General features: G+C 40.6%; 2 protein-coding genes across 2 annotated transcripts in view, besides 3 other annotated features; one reads left to right on the forward strand and one right to left on the reverse strand.

The window, feature by feature from the left end:
• MRE11 (MRE11 double strand break repair nuclease) overlaps positions 1-634 on the reverse strand; it is a 96,843-nt gene extending 96,209 nt beyond the window's left edge. The window contains exon 1 of the mRNA XM_011542837.3: positions 311-634. The gene's annotated coding sequence lies outside the window, so the exon portion shown is untranslated. The remainder of the gene's footprint in view (positions 1-310) is intronic.
• Positions 341-859: an enhancer, noted in NCBI's record as "H3K4me1 hESC enhancer chr11:94245285-94245803 (GRCh37/hg19 assembly coordinates)". NCBI's record gives its function as "activates a minimal SCP1, AML or CMV promoter by ChIP-STARR-seq in naive H9 embryonic stem cells {active_cell/tissue: H9 hESC(naive)}" and the evidence as "EXISTENCE:reporter gene assay evidence [ECO:0000049][PMID:30033119]".
• Positions 341-931: a biological region, named in NCBI's record as "H3K4me1 hESC enhancer GRCh37_chr11:94245285-94245803".
• C11orf97 (chromosome 11 open reading frame 97) lies at positions 683-20,345 on the forward strand. The gene is made up of 4 exons (NM_001190462.2): positions 683-895; positions 5,805-5,909; positions 16,306-16,431; positions 20,118-20,345. The coding sequence occupies exons 1-4, from the start codon at positions 751-753 to the stop codon at positions 20,120-20,122; spliced, it is 381 nt and encodes a 126-aa protein (NP_001177391.1). The 5' UTR covers positions 683-750; the 3' UTR covers positions 20,123-20,345.
• Positions 712-931: a silencer, noted in NCBI's record as "silent region_3842". NCBI's record gives its function as "represses an Ori minimal core promoter by ATAC-STARR-seq in GM12878 lymphoblastoid cells {active_cell/tissue: GM12878}" and the evidence as "EXISTENCE:reporter gene assay evidence [ECO:0000049][PMID:35858748]".
• Positions 20,346-20,813: the final 468 nt, after the last annotated feature.

Here is a 20,813-nt window from a genome sequence, read left to right on the forward strand (position 1 = left end):
TTTAAGGCCTGCAAAACCAAACCAAGACAAAAGCAACCTTATGCTCCAAATAAAACCCTGAATTTTTCTACTTGCTCTTCAAATTAAAATTTGCTGAATTTGATTTCATCTGTAAAGTTAGTTATTAGTTTGTTATTTTGTGAATACAAAAGAGCTTGGAAACTACAATGTGCTTAATATAATAATTCACAACGTGAAAGTTGGGAATCCTCAGTATTTACTTATTCAATCACGTTGCGTGTGTGTAGCAGGGAGCAGGACGCGACAGGCACAAGGCTGCGTGAAACCAGCGACGGTGCCTTGCACTCACCTGCACACCGGTTCCACTTCTAACTTTTCTGTTCTGGGCAGTGATCTGTTCTGTCGGCTTGGGACCAGACTTCTGAGTCCACATTCCAACGGTGCCGCTTCCTAGCTATGAGGCCTTATGCAGTTTCCTTCGCTTTTTCTGAATCTCGGATTCTCTGGGAATAGTAAAGCCTCTCTTGCCGAGCTCGTGTGAGAAATTAACAATAAATTAACGAGAAATTAATGGAAAGTCCTTTGCTTTGGTCAATGATAATAATAACCCCAGCCCCATAACTTCAGCACCTTCTTTGGTGCGCGGAATACCTAGGGCCTCGGAAGGCCGGCTGGGGGCGGGGAGAATCGGCAGTCACTATGGCAACCCGAGACGCCTCGCATGCTGGGCTGCCTGCGACTGAGCTGAGAAGGAAACCGTGCCCAGGGCTCTCGGAAGACCGCTGCGGCATGACAGGCGAGGAGGCGGTGGTGGTGACCGCAGTGGTGGCGCCCAAGGCGGGTCGCGAAGAGGAGCAGCCTCCTCCGCCAGCAGGGCTGGGGTGCGGGGCGCGCGGGGAACCCGGCCGCGGCCCCCTAGAGCACGGCCAGCAGTGTGAGTTCAGCTCCAGCCGCGGACGCTACTGGGAGGAGGGGCGTGGAGAACGAGTGACAGGGCAATTGGGGGAAACCGCAGTGGGACTGGCTGAGAAGGTTTGGGGCAGGGGAGGTGGAGCTGCTGCTTTTGGCAGAACCAGAGATGATGGCACTGTGGCAGAAAGCATAGGTCCATCTTTCCAAGCCCTCCTTCCCGATAGCCTGCCTGAATTCAGGGTCTGGGCATCAGCTCCAATTTAATCATAGTGGCGTTATTCTGAAAGGAATTAACACACACACACACACACACACATTTATATGTATACCATTTTATATACACATTTGTATATGTATATGTGTATGTATGTATGTATGCGTATACACCCTTAGAAACACGCAGCTCATTTTGCCAGTTATTTCATTTTACAGATGAGGAAATTGAGATCTAGACCAGAGGAAAGAGACTTGCCACAGCCAGTCAGTGCAGGCGAAATACTAAAATCACTTTTAACTTCCATCTCTTGGACTCTCAGTCTACAATTACCCAATCCTTTTAGAATCTCATAATTATGGGCTACATTTTAACGCACTGTTCTTTGCTCTCTGCCCTGACAAACACACAATATTCAAATAGGTAAAGACAGTTCTGGCCCACAGCCATAATGGAAGTGGTTGTAATTTGAGTCCTAGCCAGGTTGTTATTCACCCATACTGTTTCATGAATTAACAGATATTTCACAGCCTCTTGCACCCCCAGGTCTTCAGTAGGTGCTAAGGAATGATGGTGAGAAGAATAAGCCAGAGGAACAGAGTAGTTTCCAGCCTTCCTGCAGCACCTTCTTGACTGCATCTCTGGAGAGCAGACTGGGTTTCTCCAAGGTTCCTCTGCACCGGGAGGCCCCAGGAGGGAGGGTTGGGCTGAAGCACCTCCATACTTGTGCTTGGTGGACCACACACTCTCCTCCCCAGAGACCTCATCAAGAAGTTACAGAACTACTGCCTCCTGGTGAAAGGGGCCTCTTCCCTGGGCATCAGCTCCAGTATGACTATGAAATGTCATTCCTTTTGTTATTATTATCAGCAGCATGCAGAGGCCTTGCTTAGAGCACATAAATTCAGTATACTTGGGTAATGGAGATTCTTTACTCCTACTTAAAATTATTATGATTATTATTATTTTTAGACAACTCTGTTGCCAGGCTGGAGTGCAGTGGCATGATCTGGGCTCACTGCAACTCAGCCTCCTGGGTTCAAGCAATTCTCATGCATCAGCCTCCTGAGTAGCTGAGATTACAGGCACACACCACCATGCCCGGCTAATGTTTTCGCATTTTTAGTAGAGACAGGGTATCGCCATGTTGGTCAGGCTGGTCTTCAACTCCTGGCCTCGAGTGATCCGCTCGCCTCAGCCTCCCAAAGTGCTGGGATTACAGGCATGAGCCACCACGCCCAGCCTCCTACTTCAAATTCTATCAGGAAATTTCCCCATTAAAGATGCTAGTTTCTAAGTTTCTTTAGTCCTGTGGCTCTAGGAGTAAAAGGTGGGATTAACATTCACTCATCAATTTAACATATTGAGTCTTTATTACATGCTAGGCATTCCACAAGTTTCAGGGAAAGAACTAATGACTTAAGGCAGGTGTCCAAACTTTCACAAGCTCACAAAGTTGGGGTGGGAAAATGAAAGAGTTCCTGCCTCAGCCTCCCTCAGAACCTCCTTTTAGGGACTCAGCCTAAGTAGAGACAGGCTGTTCGCACAAGCACAAAGTACTCAGTCAATTTTTCAAATGTCTGTAATTATTGGAAAAGTCTTCAGTCTCTTTACAGCTTCTATTCCCTATATTCCCTAATCACAGTCCTGCTCTCAAACACGAAGTGTGGTTGTTTGCTTGTAAACATCCTTGAATTATATAAAGGCAGCTCCTTGAGCACCAACCAAATCTTTCATAGACTTAATGTCACCTTTATTTTTTATTTATTTTTGCCTTTTTTTTTTTTTTTTTTTTTTTAGACAGAGTCTTACTCTGTTGCCCAGGCTGGAGTACAGTGGCGCGATCTCGGCTCACCGCAACTTCCCCTTCCTGGGTTCAAGCAATTCTTTGGCCTCAGCCTTCCAGGTAGCTGGGACCACAGGCATGCACCATCACGCCTGGCTAATTTTTGTATTTTTAGTAGAGATGGGGTTTCACCATGTTGGCCAGGCTGGTCTTGGACTCCTGACCTCAAGTAATCTGCCCACCTCAGCCTCCCAAAATGTTGGGATTACAGGCATGAGCCACCGCGCCTGGCCAATGTCACCTTTAGGATCACTTGTAGTGCTCTAACCTGGCTGGCTGGCCACTTCTTCCAACAATCTCCAGTGTATCATATCACTGAAACCTGTATTCTAGGTATGAACTGATTAGTAGAGTGTGGTGGATCTATAACTGTGCGTTGTAATAAACTATGAATAATTTGTAATAACCGTAGGAGCTTGGGAGACTCAGGTAGGTGTGGCTTCTCATTTTCATTATTTTAGTTTTATGACTCAAGGAAGCTACTTTCTCAACTATAAAACAGGAATAATTATACTTGCCCATAGGTCATTGTGAGAAAGAGAAATAATAATATATATAAGATGCAATTGTTATTAGCTCTCAGGAAAAAAAACAAAAAACAACAAAAAAAAATCCAAAAAACGTGGAATAATAATTGTTTCAAAAGAAATTCTGGAATAATACTGTTCTTAGTCATACTTCTCAGTGATCACAGCTTCTCATCCTCTATACACACAAGACATCTATCGACCAATCCACTTAAAATGCTGGTAAAGGTCAACATCAAACTGCTATGGTAGAGTTTGTAGAATTTTCTTTCTCTCTCTCTTTCCCTTCCTTCCTTCTTTCTTTTTTAAATTTGCTTTCCCTTCCTTTCCTTTTCCTTCCTTTCCTTTCCCTTTCTCCTTTTTTTTCCTTTTCCTTTCCTCTTTCCTTTCTCCTTTCCTTTCTTTTGTCCTTTCTCCTTTCCTTCCCTTTTTCCTTTCCTCTCCTCTCCTTTCCTTCCTGGCCAAGTTTGTGAAACCTTTTTCTGCCTGAAAGTTCTGCCCCCTCTCCCCTCCTTTCCTTTCTTCTCCTGAGCAGGAGATATTTACCCGTACTAGCTCCTTAGTACTCTCCCAATTACCACAATTCTTCAAATCACCTTTAATGATTTCTTCTGTGCATTTTCCTAGCACCAGGGCTGAAATTTGTCAGGAGATCTGAACTGAGAGCAGGTGGTCTTTTCCTTTCTGTTGTTCTGTTATAGGCTTAGTTTTCTTCCTAGCCAAGTTTGTGAACCCTTTTTCTGCCTGAAGATCATGATTTAACAGATTAAACCAAAGTTAGGCTTCAGTAATGCTGATCCCATATTTTATTCATATGACTTCCAACTTTGGGGAAACAAGAATGAGACCCTGAAAGTATGTAATTCTAACTTTTTCATGTCTGAGGGTGTGTCTGGGTCTTCATGACCAGGAATGACCTGGGATCACTGCCGGAAGCAGCAGGTCTCTTGCCCCATTTTTGCCAGTCTGCATCCCCGTCAAATTGACTCACTTGTGTTGTTTATTGATTAGTCTGGAAAAGATGAGATACCTGCCCATATATATGTGAGTTTAAAATCAAATCATAAACAACTAAAGTATTTGGTTGTTTAGGTTTTCATTGGTTCCTTGAATTGAGCTTTTGGATACTGAGATTAGAACTATCGGTTCACTGACATTCACAGTGACCGTATAACTGCATTGACAGACATGCACACAGTCTTTAGTTAGAGCTCCAATTTATCAGTGCTTAGTTCTAACTGAACACACATTTGTTGAGCATTTATTATCATGCCAAGCTCTGTTCTAAGACTCTGATGAACTGAAGAGACAACATCCCTGCCCTCATGGGGTTTGTGATCTGGTAAAGAAGTTATATATTAAATAAATAGCTACACAAATAATTGTGTATAAAAAAATGAAGCTGTATCCAAATTGCAATAAGTAAAATGAAAGAATAAAGGAGGGTGCCATGATAAAAAGTCATTTCCAGATTGTGGAGTAAGGGAAAGTTTTCCTAAAGAACTAATGTTTAAGCCAAGACCTAAAATTTGAGTAGAAGTTATATAGGCAAAACCAGGAGAAAGGCAGCTCAGGTAGCAAAAACAGCATGTGCAAAGGTAGGAATGAACAGAAGGGCCATGTGTCTGGAGCTCAGAGAGCAAGAGAGAGAGGCTGACCGGAGAGATTAGGGATATGGGTAGGCCCAATAGCACAGAGCTCTTTTGTTTCTCTGGAGTTCTGACATCTGGGCTGAGCTACATTTCTGAGAAGAAATGTAGCTACAGTGTTTAAAACAAACAATTCAGTCCTTGACTGTAGTAGTCATGTCCTATAGGTCCAGATTTAAAGGCCAGGGAAAAGTGCTATGTCCATAAGTGGTTCACTACTACAATTCAGTTTCAATCTTTTAAAATGTCGATTTTAAAATGCTGAGATTTTGTTCTCTCTTCTGTACCTGGATTGCAAGCTCTATACACACATCTGTCTTACTCATTGCTCTGTCTTCAGCCCCTAGCCAAATGCCTATCACAGAGTAGGTCTTTAATAAGAGTTCATTCAACAAACGAGTGCAAGTTTTCTTGAAGCTAAGGAGGAAACTTTATCTATTTCTTCATAACACCTAAAAGAGGTACCTGAAACTTACCCTGCAAGTTCAGGAATTACATGAAAACGTGAAGTCCCAAAAGAACCTAAAGTTTCCATGGAAGAGATCTTTCCAAGATAGAGCCTTCAGGGCAAATTGTCTGATATTTGTATGGAATAACATGTCTTCTTTTAAAAAAATTGTTATCATGTAGATATAATGGCTAGAAGATTGGGCAGTATTTATACTAAGTAATTGATTTTGTTAATGCCTTTATAGGGAAGAAATTTTTATATTGTGAGCCACATAAGAGAATTAAGGAAGTACTGGAAGAAGAACGTCATATTAAGAGAGATGAATGCCACATTAAAAATCCAGCTGCAGGTAATCTCAGTGACAAATGAAGTATGTTTGTGAAATGAATATGAAATTGCCTACTTGATGACAGAGTATTTTATTATAAAACCATACTATTGAAATAAAAAGTTTTTGGAAAGTTCTTGAACTAGTTTATAATTAATTTGCTTATGTCCAAATAAACCTTCATGTCTAGAAAAAAAAATGGGCTGGGCACGGTGGCTCACGCCTGTAATCCCAGCACTTTGGGAGGCCGAGGTGGATGGATCACGAGGTCAGGAGATTGAGACTATCCTGGCTAACACGGTGAAAACCCGTCTCTACTAAAAACACAAAAAATTAGCCGGGTATGGTGGCGGGCACCTGTAGTCCCAGCTACTCGGGAGGCTGAGGCAGAAGAATGGCGTGAACCGGGAGGCAGAGCTTGCAGTAAGCCAAGATCGCGCCACTGTACCCCAGCCTGGGTGACAGAGCAAGACTCCATATCAGAAAAAAAAAAAAAAAAAGATCTAGATATCAATATGTACTTTGCTGTCCCACTTTCTTGGTGGAGTTATTTCTATTTAATGACATGTACCATTTTTTCCAAGTGCCTGAAAAACACAATAATAACTTCAATCTTTATCAATATAGGTATGACAAGTAACAGTGGTTTCCAAACTTTAGATTTTTATCAGAATTACCTGGGAGCTTGTTAAAAGCAGATTGCTGAGCCCTACCCCTAGCATATTTGGCACAGTATGTCTGCAGTGGAGCCCAAGAATTTGGATTTTTACAAATTTCCCAGGTGATATTGATGCTGCTGGTCCAGTACCCGACTTTGCAAATCACTGACTCAGCAGAACCTAAGTCATTTACATGGTCAGATCATCCAAGGATTTCATCCCGTAGAGGATCTGAGCATTGATAGCTCTTATTGATGGTTCATGTGTGAAAGAGATGCTCTAGGAGCCCCAGAATCCCAGATGTTAGTTTGAAACTGCTGGCGTCCTTCATTTTCATGGTTCCTTCTCAACGATTACTAGATGCATATTTCATGCTCTCAAATCATCAGATTTTTATTGTGACACTCTTGGGTATCAGCAGTTGCTAGAAGAAATAACAAAACTATTACATAGACTCCTTCATTTGTGGAGAATTGTTGGTCAACCTGCAAGTGAGGTCCAAATTCACTAAGGATTCCTAAGAGAGAGGCTGCAGGCCCAGAAGTCCATCATTTCAGATTACATGATGTATGTTGTGCCCACTTTACATTTTTTTTTTTTTTGGATGGAGTCTCACTCTGTCACCCAGGCTGGAGTGCAGTGACACGATCTCTGCTCACTGCAACCTCTGCCTCCTGGGTTCAAGCGATTCTTCTGCCTCAGCCTCCTGAGTAGCTGGGATTACAGGCACACACCACCACGGCCCAGCTAATTTTTGTATTTTTAGTAGAGATGGGGTTTCACCATGTTGGTCAGGTTGGTCTTGAACTCCTGACCTCGTGATCTGCCCACCTCGGCCTCCCAATGTGCTGGCATTACAGGCATGAGCCACCACGCCCGGCCCCACTTTACATTTCTAAAGCAGACATAGAAACTCCTTTGGGTCTTCTCGTATGACCCATTCTTATAAAAGGAGAGACCAATAAAATGGTGAAATTTGCTCCCATAATATCTTCAAGGAAAGTTTTAAAGTCTATTTTGAACTTAATGAATGGATGCAGAATGACCTACTGCATTTCAGCTGGGAAGCCCCGCCTACATGTACTATTTTCCTGGTGTTTAACATTTTTTTCTAAGTCTATACTGTTATATTCTGGATTTATCTTCATTGTTTTAAAAATCTACATAAAAGCTAGTTTATACACTAGCTGTATGTTGTATTATTCTTATTGGATACACTAGATTGTGAGACAGTCTGAGTGAATAGGATGTATCTTTTGGTTTATAAAAATTCATTTTCCTAAGCAATCTTTTCAAATATCCTTTATATAAAATGAAGACTGTCTGGGCTGCTTTTTAAAATAACATCCACTAGAGGTCGCACAGAGGTACTATTTTAGCCTAGAAAAATCTTTCAATGCGGAGAATAGATTCTATAAATTTGGGTTTTAAAATGATCTACTTATGGGAAATCCCGCTGTTTTTAAAATATATATCATGGCTAGAAGCCACATACCATTGGCCAGAACAGAGAATTAGCATCTAGAGAGGGTGCCACACTCTTCCAGCCCAGCCTCAGAGCCTAGAGGCCAGCCATTGGACATTTGCTTCTAATTCGGTTTGCAGTGACCCCTCCTTTATATATCTGATGACAGCCATGGCTTCTTTTCCTGGAAGACACAGTTTGTCACATACGTGCAGAATTCTGCATAAAACTTTTAGAGAATTGTGTGGTTCCTATAGCTGCTATTTTTAAAGATAAGTACATGTTAACCATTTTCTCCTCCCCTTTACTTCTCCTTTGCTACTTCACCTATTCTAATTAGGCATTTGTTCCCATGAGTCCAGGGAAACTGTTCTTTCCAAGATTGCAAATAGCCTTCTTTTTGAAGGTCAAATCCAATGATCCCTCCAACATACTCAACCTCTCTGTAACATCTGATGTAGTTGTTTCCTCCTTCTCTCTAAAAACACTTTCTTAGCTTGGCCTGTAGGTCACAATGCTCCAATTTCCTGGTTTTGCTCCTACCTCTTTAGCTATTCTTTCTCCATCTTCTTTGCTGGCTCTCCCTCCACCTAGCCTGTATAATTTAGAGGTCTCAGTCATGGGCTCTTTTCTCTACCTACCCTCACACCGTGGGATATCTAGCCCTATTGGGCTAATGACTCCAGCATTTTTTATTTCTACCCTATACTTTTCCCCTTAAATCCCAAAACCTACTTGATTCTCCACTTGGATGTCCAATAGGCCTCTCAACCTTAAGATGTCCAGAACCAAAATCTTATTCTCTATTCCCAGGCTTTTAAAAAACCCATAGGTCTTTCCCATATCATGAGATGGTACCACCAAACACCTAGAAGTCAAGTCCTCAAACTCCGTATCCAGTCTATCAGCCAATCCTTTTGAATTCAGTGTATATCCTAAATCCCCCACCAGCACCGTTGCCAAGCCCCTGCCACCTTTTGCAGGCCTGGCAATAGCATCCTATAACAGCCTCTGCTACTGCCCCTGCTACTGTTAATTCTCTGCACTGAAACCGGAGGGATCTTTTACAAACATAAATCGTTACATGTCACCTCCATGCTTAAAGTTGTCTGATGGCTTTTTATTATTCTGAGACTAGATTTCATGCTCCTATGGCCAGCTCACCTCTCTGATCTCATCTCCTATACTTTTCCACTCCACTTTAACCACACAGGCTTTCTTGACATTCTGGAATGTGCCAAATCCATTTTCACCCCTCAGGACATTTAAAGGTCACCCAGACATTCAGATATCTTCCTCTCTCTTCATTCAGGCTTCAACTGCATATGCCATCTTCTCAGAGAGGCCTTTCCACTCCACCAGGTCAAAACAGAAATTGTCCTCCAGGTCACCTTCTAATCCCTATACTGCTTTCTTCTTTCTCCTGTTTTCTATTGCTACCTGAAATTTTATGCAGACAGTCCCCAACTTATTGTGGTTCAACTTATGATTTTTCAATGTGATGGTGTGAAAGTGATACATGTCAGTAGGAACCCTACTTCAAATTTTGAATGCTGCTCTTTTCCTGGGCTAGCGATCTGCCTTATGATTCTCCTTTGCAATGCTGGGCAGTGGCCATGAGCCGCAGCTTCTAGTTAGCCATTCTAATGTAAGTGTTCTGAGCACATTTAAGGTAGGCTAGGCGAAGCTATGATGTTTGGCAGGTTAGGTGTATGAAATGCATTTACTACTTACAATTTTTTTTCAACTTATGATAGGTTTTTCAGGATGTAACTCCGTCGTAAGTCGAGGAGGATCCATATTTCTTTACATACTTCTTTATTGGCTATCTCTCCCACTAGAACACAAGCTATCTGAGGATAGGGGCTTAATTTTGCTTACCCCAAATCCTCACAAAGCTGTATGATATTGATATTCTGATCCCCATCTTAGGATGAGTAAACTAAGATTCTGAGAGGTGTTTAACTTGCCCAAGGTTATGCATTAAGTAGCAGAACCAGATCCAAATTCAGATCTGACCCCCAATCCCATTGGCTTTCTACTCACTATGGTGTCTCTGGTGACACGTTATGGCTAAATGCAGTGGATACTGTTCTGCCTCTAGGTGGCTTGAGCTTTCTGCAACATTTCACATAGTCGATGGCTCTCTCCTTCAACCTTGTTCCTTTCTCAAATTCCATGATACTTAACTGTCCTGGTTCTCGCTCTACTTCTTTCTCATCCTCTGTTAAGCACTCTTTTTATTCACTACATTCTCCGAATCTTGATGTTTATCGGAGTGTTTCCCACAGTCTTGTAATCTTGTTCCATTAGCTTTCCTGGGATTTTCTCATACTTTTCACTACGGCCTCTCTAGGATGCCTCTGAAATGTGTCTCTGCAGGCTAAACTTCTTTTCCTGGATGTCCCATAAGTCATAAGATAACTCAGGCCCAACATGTCCAAAACAAAACTCACACCTCTGGGCTGGGCATGGTGGCTCACGCCTGTAATCCCAGCACTTTAGGAGGCTGAGACGGGCGTATCACGAGGTCAGGAGATCGAGACCATCCTGGCTAACATGGTGAAACCTCGTCTCTACTAAACATACAAAAAAAATTAGCCGGGCGTGGTGGCGGGTGCCTGTAGTGCCAGCTACTCGGGAGACTGAGGCAGGAGAATGGCGTGAACCCGGGAGGTGGAGCTTGCAGTGAGCCGAGATCCGCCATTGCACTCCGGCCTGGGCAACAGAGTGAGACTCCGTCTCAAAACAAACAAACAAACAAACAAAACAATTGACACCTCTCCCCGACTTGCTGCTTCCCCTATACCACCCATCTCAATGAATGGCATAGCCTATGGTCCAAATGCAAATCCAGAGAGCCATCCTCTATCTCCACACCAGACCACCATGTTCCACATCGAATTAGACTGTGAGGGGTACCTTAGTTTGGCTCAAGATCCCAAAATGTTGACCCATATGCCAGGTTCACCTTGCAGACATATTTATTTGCCCCGCAGTATATTTTTTAAATATCTGAACCAGTTGTCAATATTTTAAAATTAGAAATTTTATATACAAATCTAGATGTCTAGGTTTTCTTGAGCAGGGATGGAGCACGGAGGATAAAGGTTGATTTGACACCATCAAGGCACCATTTGTATTAACAACAGTGGCTGGGGTTGGGTTACAATGCCCCGTGCTGACCTGCCCACTCCACTGTTCAGCATCCTACACCAAGTTCCCCACTCCAGTGGGAAACATCACAAGCTATGTATGTTCACGTGCCCGCTGCAGGTTTTTTCTTCTCATCGTGAAATACAAAAAATTGTTTCTCTTGTATGATGCCTCCATCAAAAGTAGTAAAAAAGAGAAAGACTGGGAGAACCAATTATTTCTTACCCCTAGCCAGCTTTACTCATATTACCTGCCTGGCCTCTTCCTATGTATATTTGAATTTGTGACTTTGGATAAACGCTACATACTGTTTTGTAGATATTCCCAAGCCTGTCTAAATTCTAGGGACCCCAACATATATGCATGGATCTAAGCATATTTGTAGCTATGTATGAATTAGCTGGGTTTGTTTGAATTTTAAGACAATCAACTCCACATACTCTGACAACAAAGTAATTGATTGTTGAAGGTGAGATTTCAGTAAGAGTCCAGATTGGATTTTCCTTAACCATAGATAAAATACTGCAATACTGGGCTATTTATTGAACTTATTGAAGAGTCTATTAAGAGGGCGATCTGTCCTGGAAGTAAACAACTTAAATTATAGCACGTTTTATTTTTGAATGAGTTGACAGTGACAATTATGGAAGTACCCTGAAGCTGTGGGGTCATTTCTGTGCTTTTTCTCTTCTCCTTTGGCTGAATGAAATTGGTAAAAAATCAAAAGATTCAGAAATTGAGTTTTATGGATGTTGAATAGAATGAACATTATATTTCTTTTGGGATACCGTTGGTTGCATAGCTAGCGGGACACAGGAGAAATAGTTGTTCAGACTGGGGCTCTTATCTGAATGAACTGTGCTACTTGTTCTTGTGGTCATATTGTGACTATAGTTAATAAGGGCTGTGAAGACACTGAAATGGACAAGGTGTCTCACGTGGTTGTTACTTTGCACTCTATACTTGGGTCTAGGGAATGCCATCAGTGACAATAGAAATAATGGGCTAACAGGCCTCTTGTCCTCCCTTCTGTGGACTTTTGATTCCTTGTAGGCTCCTGATGTGTTGATACATGGGCTGAGTTAGAAGCACTGGATGCTGGGTTGAGAGGTAGGGATGTCTTTTTATATGATGATGTTGATGTTGGGAATTATGGTGATAATAATAGTAATAATGGTTATCATTTGCAGAGTTTCTTCTGCACGTGATAAATTTTTTGCAAATAATCTCTTTTAATTCTTGCAATAACCCAGTGAGATATATGCTCTTTTAATTCACATTTTGAAGAACTTGAAGCTGAGGCTCAGGGGGATGCAGTGACTTGTCCAATGTCACACTGATACTTGGATGCAGGTTTGTCAGAAGCTGATGTTGTTGCTATTAGCCATTGGGTTCTTCTATCTCTCTTTAAAACATAAGATTATGCCTTCGGAGAGGAACAGAGATTTGAAATTGATTTAGTAGCAAGTAGTGTTCTATTCAGTTAAAAAAAAGAAATGTTACTAGTTTTCTGTAGGTTCAGTTTCAGTTTAGCCTCCAGGTTCAAATTTGAGGTAAAAACAGGTTTCAGAGGCTTTCTGCATTCCTATCAGATAAGGGCAAAGAACCTGTGTCTACTTGAAAAGGTTAACCTCATCCTGAAAAAAAAAAAAAAAAAGGGAGTGTAGTTTTCTCATCAGATCTTTTAATCAGATAGAATGGAATTTGGGCAACTTATAGAACTTTCTGGATAAGGAAGAATTTAGCTAATGTCCATCATTCATGTATTCTCAGTGATTTCCTGAAGATTTTCCTTTCTTTACAACTTTTCAAAAAGAAAAATGTAGAATTGGCTGAGCTCAGTAGCTCATGCCTGTAATCCCAACACTTTGGGAGGACAAGGCAGGCCGATCACATGAGGTCAGGAGTTCAAAACCAGCCCAGGCAACATGGTGAAACCTCGTCTCTATTAAAAATACAAAAATTAGCCAGGCATGGTAGTGTGCACCTATAGTCCCAGCTACTCTTGAGGCTGAGGCAGGAGAATTGCTTGAACCCAGGAGGCGAATGTTGCAGTGGGCCGAGATCTCACCACTGCACTTCAGCTTGGATGATGGAGCAAGACTCCATCTCAAGAAAAAAAGAAAAAAAAAAAAAAGAAAGAAAAGAAAAATGTAGGCTTATGAGACATTCATTATGGAAATAGTGCATTTATTGTATTGTTTATTTTAAAACTATTTCTGCATTTCTATTCTATAAAGGACTTTGCAGAAATAAAGTGATGTATTAATTTAATGTTTTCAAGTTGCAAGGTCTTTTGTATTTTTCTGGCTAAAACCTACAGAGGTTATAGTAGTCATGAAAAATTTGATTACTGAACTTATTAATCTTCCCCTTACACAACACTTCCTTTTCCAAAGAATTTCAGAAATGTATTGCCAGATACATTAATGAGTGTCTACATGTGCGTTAATACATGTAAACTTAATTTTGAATCCAGTTTATTTACTACTTAAGTACAAGCTTAGAAAGTGCAAAATGTTGCCAAGCAAATGTGGATATATTTCATTATTTCATTCAATTAAAATGTTTTTTGTACCTACAATATAGGAGGAATTTACTAGACACCAGTTATTCATTATTTCATTCAATTAAAATGTCTTCTGCACCCAAAATATAGGAGGAATTTACTAGACACCAAAGGCTTGCCAAGACAATTATAGAGCCTAGGAGTCACCAGACATAAATTAAAATTACTTATATTTTTCTTTCTGTAGTCAAACTCTGACCTTGCTTGCACAAGAGAAGTACAGACGATATGGCTCTAAACTGGATTTTCAAGCTCCAATGTTCATTATTTACAATCCAAAGAGAGCTGAAAGGAACTAAAATATTTTTAAGGTGTGAGCTTACCTTCCCTATAAGACCAGGCCAGGTCCTACTGGCTAAAATTTTGGGCATAAAGGCATGGTTTAGTCATTTTAAAATTCAGTATAAAAATACACGTATAAAGGTTTCTGAGTAGAAGGTGTTGGAGGCATGAGAAGGGAAGAGAGAAGAGGAATCTCTAGAAGATTCTGAGCCTCAAGAACAGATTTGATTCTTTTCTTCTAGCTTCTCCCCTTGTGCCTGCTGCCCTTTTCTTTTTCAGTTGAGAGGAGTCGACACTTGAAGTCTTTCTGGCTCCGTGCCCGCTTTGTCTGCCTTCCTCCTTCTGGAATGCACATGCCCTGAGCTGAGGGAGTAAAGTTTCTCTTAAAAGAAGCAGCTGCCTCAGAGAGCACCCATGCTGTTTTCTAGACCCCCTTTTATCCAGTCAAATATATCACCTTCTGTAACTTCTTCACCCAAACATCACTTCACATGTATGGAGGGCTATTTTTTTTCCTGCAACCATTATCCCTGAATATAGTAAATATTTATGCATAACCATATTTTGCTTTGAGAGTTTCAGATGCATTTCTGGGCATCTGCATTTATATTTCAGGTGTTTTTCTCTGTGACATTCTTGTGATTGCATCTGAAAGAGCACACTTCATTTAGTACAATTCTTCCATCTAATTTGATGTGATTTGTCTGCACGGTTCTGCTTCCTGATTTTATACTGCTTTCCACGTACTGGATCTTCACAAAGTGTCAACCACAAGTTCAAATCTATTTCCCTGGTCTCCCACAGGGTATCATGCACTGGGGGTATTGAATAAATGTCATAGGCTCCTAAATTTGAGAGTTTATTATCCAGAGGCTGGGGAGCAGCCCTTTTCTATCTCTGAACAGGATAGAAGAGGAAACTGGCTTGAATGGCAGGGGAAGATTTAGGTTAGATAGAAGGAACAGCTTAAACTTTGTAAGGTCTTAAACAGAAGGAGATTGTGCAATCTTCCTTGAAGGTCTTTGAAGAAGAGAGAAACTAATCTTGACAGATAGCTTCAGCTACTCCACTCAGGAGTGGGAAAGGAGAGGCAAGTATTGACATTCAGCTTGGCAAGTCAGCTCAATGACTGTACCTCCAGTCACGGAATCTTAGTCCATGCTTGGATAGTAAAATCATTCTCCCTGTACAAAAATAGCTATCATTTATTGAGTACAAAGCACTTTACAGCCATCTCATCTAAATCGTACAATAATCCTTCAAGTAGATATTATTATCCCTATTTCGAAAATGAGGAAATTAAGACATAGTGGGTTAAATAACTTGGTCAAAATCATGTAACTGATATATGGTAGAACTAAGATCAAAACCCAGATCTCCTCTGAACCCAGAGACTATGCTGCTAGTAATTACTTGCTATGGAATCCTTTAGAGAGGGATCAAATATCAGTGAGGATGCCAGTGGGCAGCCTTGGATCTGTGGAGAATATTTGGCATTAATATTTGCAGCGTTAGAAATGGGAAAAACAACTTATGGCAACTCACCCAAATTCACCAACTTACTAGACTTGAGTTGCAGTTTTCTACACAGTAGACATTCACCACATGCTTGTTTGCTGAGTCTCAAAACCTAACCAGGTGATTTTAGGATATGGAGGATAACCAAGTGCAAATCTTTGCTAAACCTTATTGAAAGGTATCAGGACCCAAGACCTATAATTATCAATGGGCAAACATCACTTTCCAGGTATTTTGCAATGATTTTTAAAATGTAGGATCCAGTGAGTTTATTGTTGCTCTTTTTCAGAGGGAGATTAAACAGCATCTAGTTTGTGGCTTTTAGAGGATTCTTGGATCTATTGGATGAATTAACTATTGGATGAATTAATGTAGTGATTTTTGGTCCTATTATCTTTGGAAATATTTTCTCTTACTGTAGGAATTAAATCAGAATCAGATAAAGTTGACTAAATGAATTCCATTTATTAACTGTTATTTCTGATCCTTCTCTGTTTTGTTATGTATGTTTCTATTCATCTATTTATTTAGGGGCAAGTTAAATTATCTAAGAGCACTGTAGAGGTTTAATTGCATAGAGAATAGTTGAATAAATGAAATGGAATAAAAGATTAAACATATGATAAAGATTTGAGTGGTTTGATTAGTCAAACCAAATAAACCCCCACCCAAATAAATAAAAAAATCACCAATTAAATACTTTAAAAACTCTGTGCTAAAAAGAGAATACGCTAATAATTATTTTCTTGCCTTAAAAAATATTGACAGTGGCCCTGGAAGGGATTTGGAGCATTAAAAGGAATCTGCCTGTGGGAGGCTTGAAGCCAGGACTGCCGAGCAGAAACAGTTTATTGCCACAAGCCAAGTACTACTCCAGGCACGGAGGACTCAGAAGTAAGACCCTGATGCCCTTGACTTCCACTGAAGCCCCTGAGGGGACTTTACAGTTTACAAACCAGTGGTATATGCTCTGTTTAAAGATCTCAATCAAAACTCAACCTTCCTTTGACTTGTTTCTCTTGGGTTGCTTTTAGTTTGGCCATATTATGTGATTATGGAACTCAAACCGTAACAATTCACCTAACCAATTTACCCCCATGGATACAACAGAAGTTCATCCTCTGAGTTACACTCATGACTTTTTTCTTTACTTTCTATCTACACAAGACTTTCTAGCACACAGTCAGCCTCTGTGAAGAGGAATCCTGTACTGTCTTTTCTTCTCGATAGAGGATCTTTGTTTCCCAGTGGAAATGAGGAAAGGGAAATGAGGGAATGAAGGAAGAACATGGCAGCCACTTTGCTTGGCTCTCTTAGTTTCACCCTATTCCAGGAATGAGGCCACCAGACTGGGCCCAGGATACCATTGTTCCTTAGCAGACATAAACTTTGGAACAAAATATTACTCATTCCTCACTGTCATAGCCAGTGTCTGCCAGGAACATTTGTAGCAGGATGTGGGGAAGACAGAGGTCTTCATATGGAAGCACAGTGTCCAGATAATCTAGGGACATGCAGCTGTGTATATAAGTCCTCAAAATAGACCTACAATTGGGAGATTACCCTGGGTAAAAAGGGAGAAGTAGATAAAATTCAAGCTTGGGTACTCAACCAAGATATGAATCATAATAGCAATGCTATATAGCATTGCTTATTCTAGATTCTTAATATATACAATAATAGGCTGGGCACAGTGGCTCACACCTGTAATCCCAGTACTTTAGGAGGCCAAGGTAGGCAGAAACTCAGGCACAGAGAGGTGAAATAATTTACCCCGGTTCGCTCAGCTAACAAGTAGAAGAGTAGAAATGCTGGGATTTGAACCAAAGCAGCCTGTCTCCAAAGTCCATGCTTTCAACCACTAGACACTACTGCATCTCTGAGCCAAGTGCCCACGAGCTAGGATGTCTATTGGACCTGAAGTGAGATGAGAGTTCAATAAAAGTGTCACATAGGAGTAGGGTCCCCAGGGGGCCAGGGATGCAGCCTCTGGGATATGGACTCAGTAAGGGAAAAAATACAGCCACTAAGAAACTGAAACAAGAGGTTAAAAAAACAAACACAAAACTTGTTACTAAAGGGGATTCATGTAGCAAACAGGAGCCAGTTAGGAAGACTTCAGTTTAATGATAATAAAGTAGTAGTAGCCACCATTTATCAGGAGCCAGGCATGGCAGCAAGTGTTTTATACAGTTATGTAATCCACATGATCATATGAGTTGAGGATTATAATCTCCATTTTCTGGGTAAGAAAACTGAGGCATAGAGACACTTTACTACCTACAATCCCATGTCTAGCAGGTAGTGGAGCCAGAACTACAAACCCATGTCCATCTGGCTTCCAAGACTATGCCCTCAGTTCCAAGACTATGGCCCAACACTACTGGGCCATCATGGCAGAGAATCTAGTCACTGTGCAACAAGCAACAGTTGTTGTGTTGCGGTTAAATAGGTACAAATGCCAGGGATATGGAAACACAGGGTTTTAGGAATCTGGGAGGCAGCTACCTTCATAATTCACAAAGATATTAGTGTCCTGAATTAATGGTTGATTCAACCAAAGTCTGGGCCACTTGCCTATTGGAAGCTATTTATCTCAACTTTCCACTCAATTTCTTAGGTTCCACTTATTGTAGGTAATTCCATCATTCCAAGAAAACTCACTAAGTAATTTGTTTTAAAGATGAATGGTTTTCTGCGTGCATATTATGAGACTGATTGAATAACAAATTTCCTTTATTTAAAGACATACAAGTCCAATAAATTATCCAATTTATTGATTGGGGACATATGATAAAAAATGCATGTTTCATTTTGATCATAATTGCATTCCTTTCATCCATACAATTTAAGAGACATTTCATGGCTCCCGCTCATTTGTACTCATCCACACTACATTCCTAGTAGCCCTCGGCCCTCCATTTATTTCCAGCTGGTGCCAAGCCCTTACAGTGGTCATGTTACAATATGTAACTGTTATTGACACATAGCTTAGCTTCATCTCTTTAGGTTGCCAGCTGCATTTTTGTCATATCATATGAGCTGCTACTATCTGCTGTACAATCACAATTGATCAATCTATATGTCAGACTGGTAACCAAGAATTAAACCTTTCTCATTATCAATGAAAAAGGAAGATGCTAGGCACAGAAATATCATAGAAGAACAAAATCCATAGATAATTTTCAAAAATTGTCAGTAGTAATTAATACACTATCACAAACTCCATGGAGGCAGAGACTGTGTTTTACTCACCACTGTGTATCTGGCACTTAGCACAGTGCCTGGCACAGTAGGTGCTCAATTGCTATTAGTCATGAGAATGACCAATGAATGAATGAACCAGTAAGTATATGTTAAATGCCTCTTTATGTTTAGAATCTTCTTGCTGCTAACTCACATACATCCCCTGCTCCCTCAAAAGTATATCGTTTTCTCTACTTGAGACCACTAAACCAAATGCAAACAATAGAGGGAAAAGCAATGCAACCTACTTTCTTCACTGTGTGAATCTTGAAACGTTGCATATATTTTAAATACATCTTGGAACTAACACTTTCAAAGAGAGGTCTTCTGTGGCTTACAATGAGTTTTCCAGGAACTTCTCCCATAAAATATGCTTCAGTTAGATACTTCAGTCAAATCCCACTGTCAATTTAAACAATTCACTTGTGCTTTTCTTCTCTCTTTCTCATGAACAATGTGATCATGGTAGTTGGGACTCTTCCAACATATAATACACATCATTTAAAGTTTAAATTTAGAATTATGATCATCCAACTGTAGTTCTAAAGCATGTTTCCATTAGAGACTGTGAAGCATCTACTGCTTTCATCACACTAAGAGGTTTTATTCATTTACTTTTATCAATCCCAGCACTCTGGGAGGCCAAGGCGGGCAGATCACTTGAGGCCAGGAGTTCAAGACCAGCCTGGTCAACATGGCGAAACCCCGTCTCTACTAAAAATACAAAAATTAGCAGGCGGGGTGACGCACGCTTCTAGTCCCAGCTACTCAGGAGGCTGAAGAACCAGAATCGCTTGAACCTGGGTGGCAGGGGTTGCAGCGACCCAAGATTGGGCCACTTCACTCCAGCCTGGGTGACAGAGCAAGACTGTGTTTCAAACAAACAAACAAACAAACAAACGGTAATGGTTGATGACAAAAAACCTTTTATCGTTTCCTTCTTATTCTGTGCCACAAAACAAGCCAAAAAAAAAAAAAAAAAAAAAAGCATTGTCTAGTCTGGTGCTAAGCTTGAATGTGCCTACAATTCACATGGTATCTCAATAAAATTCAGACTCTGATACCATAGGTCTGGGGTGGGGTCTGAGATTCTGTATTTCCATCCAGCTCCCAGGTGATGCTGATGCTGCTTGTCCGGAAACTATGCTTCAGTCGTGAGGGTTTGGAAGACTAAGTAGTGGCTTTTCTGGTTACTGGGATGACATGGGTGTGGCTCTTACATTCTGCTCAATCAAATGGGAACATTAAGTCAAATTTAGATTAAAATGGGTGAGATTAAAGAGCATCTCCCCGAAGTAAAACACTTATTTTTTCACTTTTTTTTTTAACTCTAGGATAAGATGAATTAGATTTTCCATTAAGAAGGAACCTCTTTCTGCTGATGTCTGAAGAACGGAGAAGAAACTCAAGCTTGTTTCAGGATTTAAGATGTGTGCAAAAAAATGATAGCCTGTAATTACTATTATTGGTATTAATACCTATCTATAAATTAATCCAAAGTAATGAAAGACTATTGGTAATGTTCAGTAAGTACCTGAAAACAATAAAGGAAAATATACTTATTTTTAGTTGTCACAGTTATAATTCATTTGGCTTCTAATTCAGGTTATTTTATTAAATATGTGAAACAATGATGAAGCAAAGGCACGTTTACCGAGTATTTACTTCAAGGCAAACATTATAAACCTTAACCCTTTACTACAGCATAATGTGTTAGCCCATTTTTAAAAAACAGAACTAAATCCAGATACAGATAATGGTGAGTAAATGAATGACAGAAGAAAAGTCTTTGACTCAGAGACAAACATTTTTATGGTAACCTTGGTAGAGCTAATCATTTCTCTAGAACTTGTTCACTAAATAGTAAGGAGCCAGGAAATTTATGGTAAGATCTTAAAAAAGAAAGTATTTAGGCTGGGCACAGTGGCTCACACCTGTAATCCCAGCACTTTGGAATGCCAAGGCGGGCCGATCACTTGAGGTCAGGAGTTCAAGACCAGCCTGGCCAAAATGGTGAAACCCTATCTCTA

Source organism: Homo sapiens, chromosome 11, assembly GCF_000001405.40.
Source record: "Homo sapiens chromosome 11, GRCh38.p14 Primary Assembly".
Classification (NCBI taxonomy): domain Eukaryota; kingdom Metazoa; phylum Chordata; class Mammalia; order Primates; family Hominidae; genus Homo; species Homo sapiens.

Bases quoted from the DNA above. Each gene is read 5' to 3' on its own strand.
- C11orf97 (NM_001190462.2), top strand. From the start codon at position 751: ATGACAGGCGAGGAGGCGGTGGTGGTGACCGCAGTGGTGGCGCCCAAG. The intron at 896-5,804 runs GTGAGTTCAGCT...ATGCCTTTATAG, and splicing joins CCTAGAGCACGGCCAGCAGT to GGAAGAAATTTTTATATTGT. The intron at 5,910-16,305 runs GTAATCTCAGTG...AAATATTGACAG, and splicing joins CATTAAAAATCCAGCTGCAG to TGGCCCTGGAAGGGATTTGG.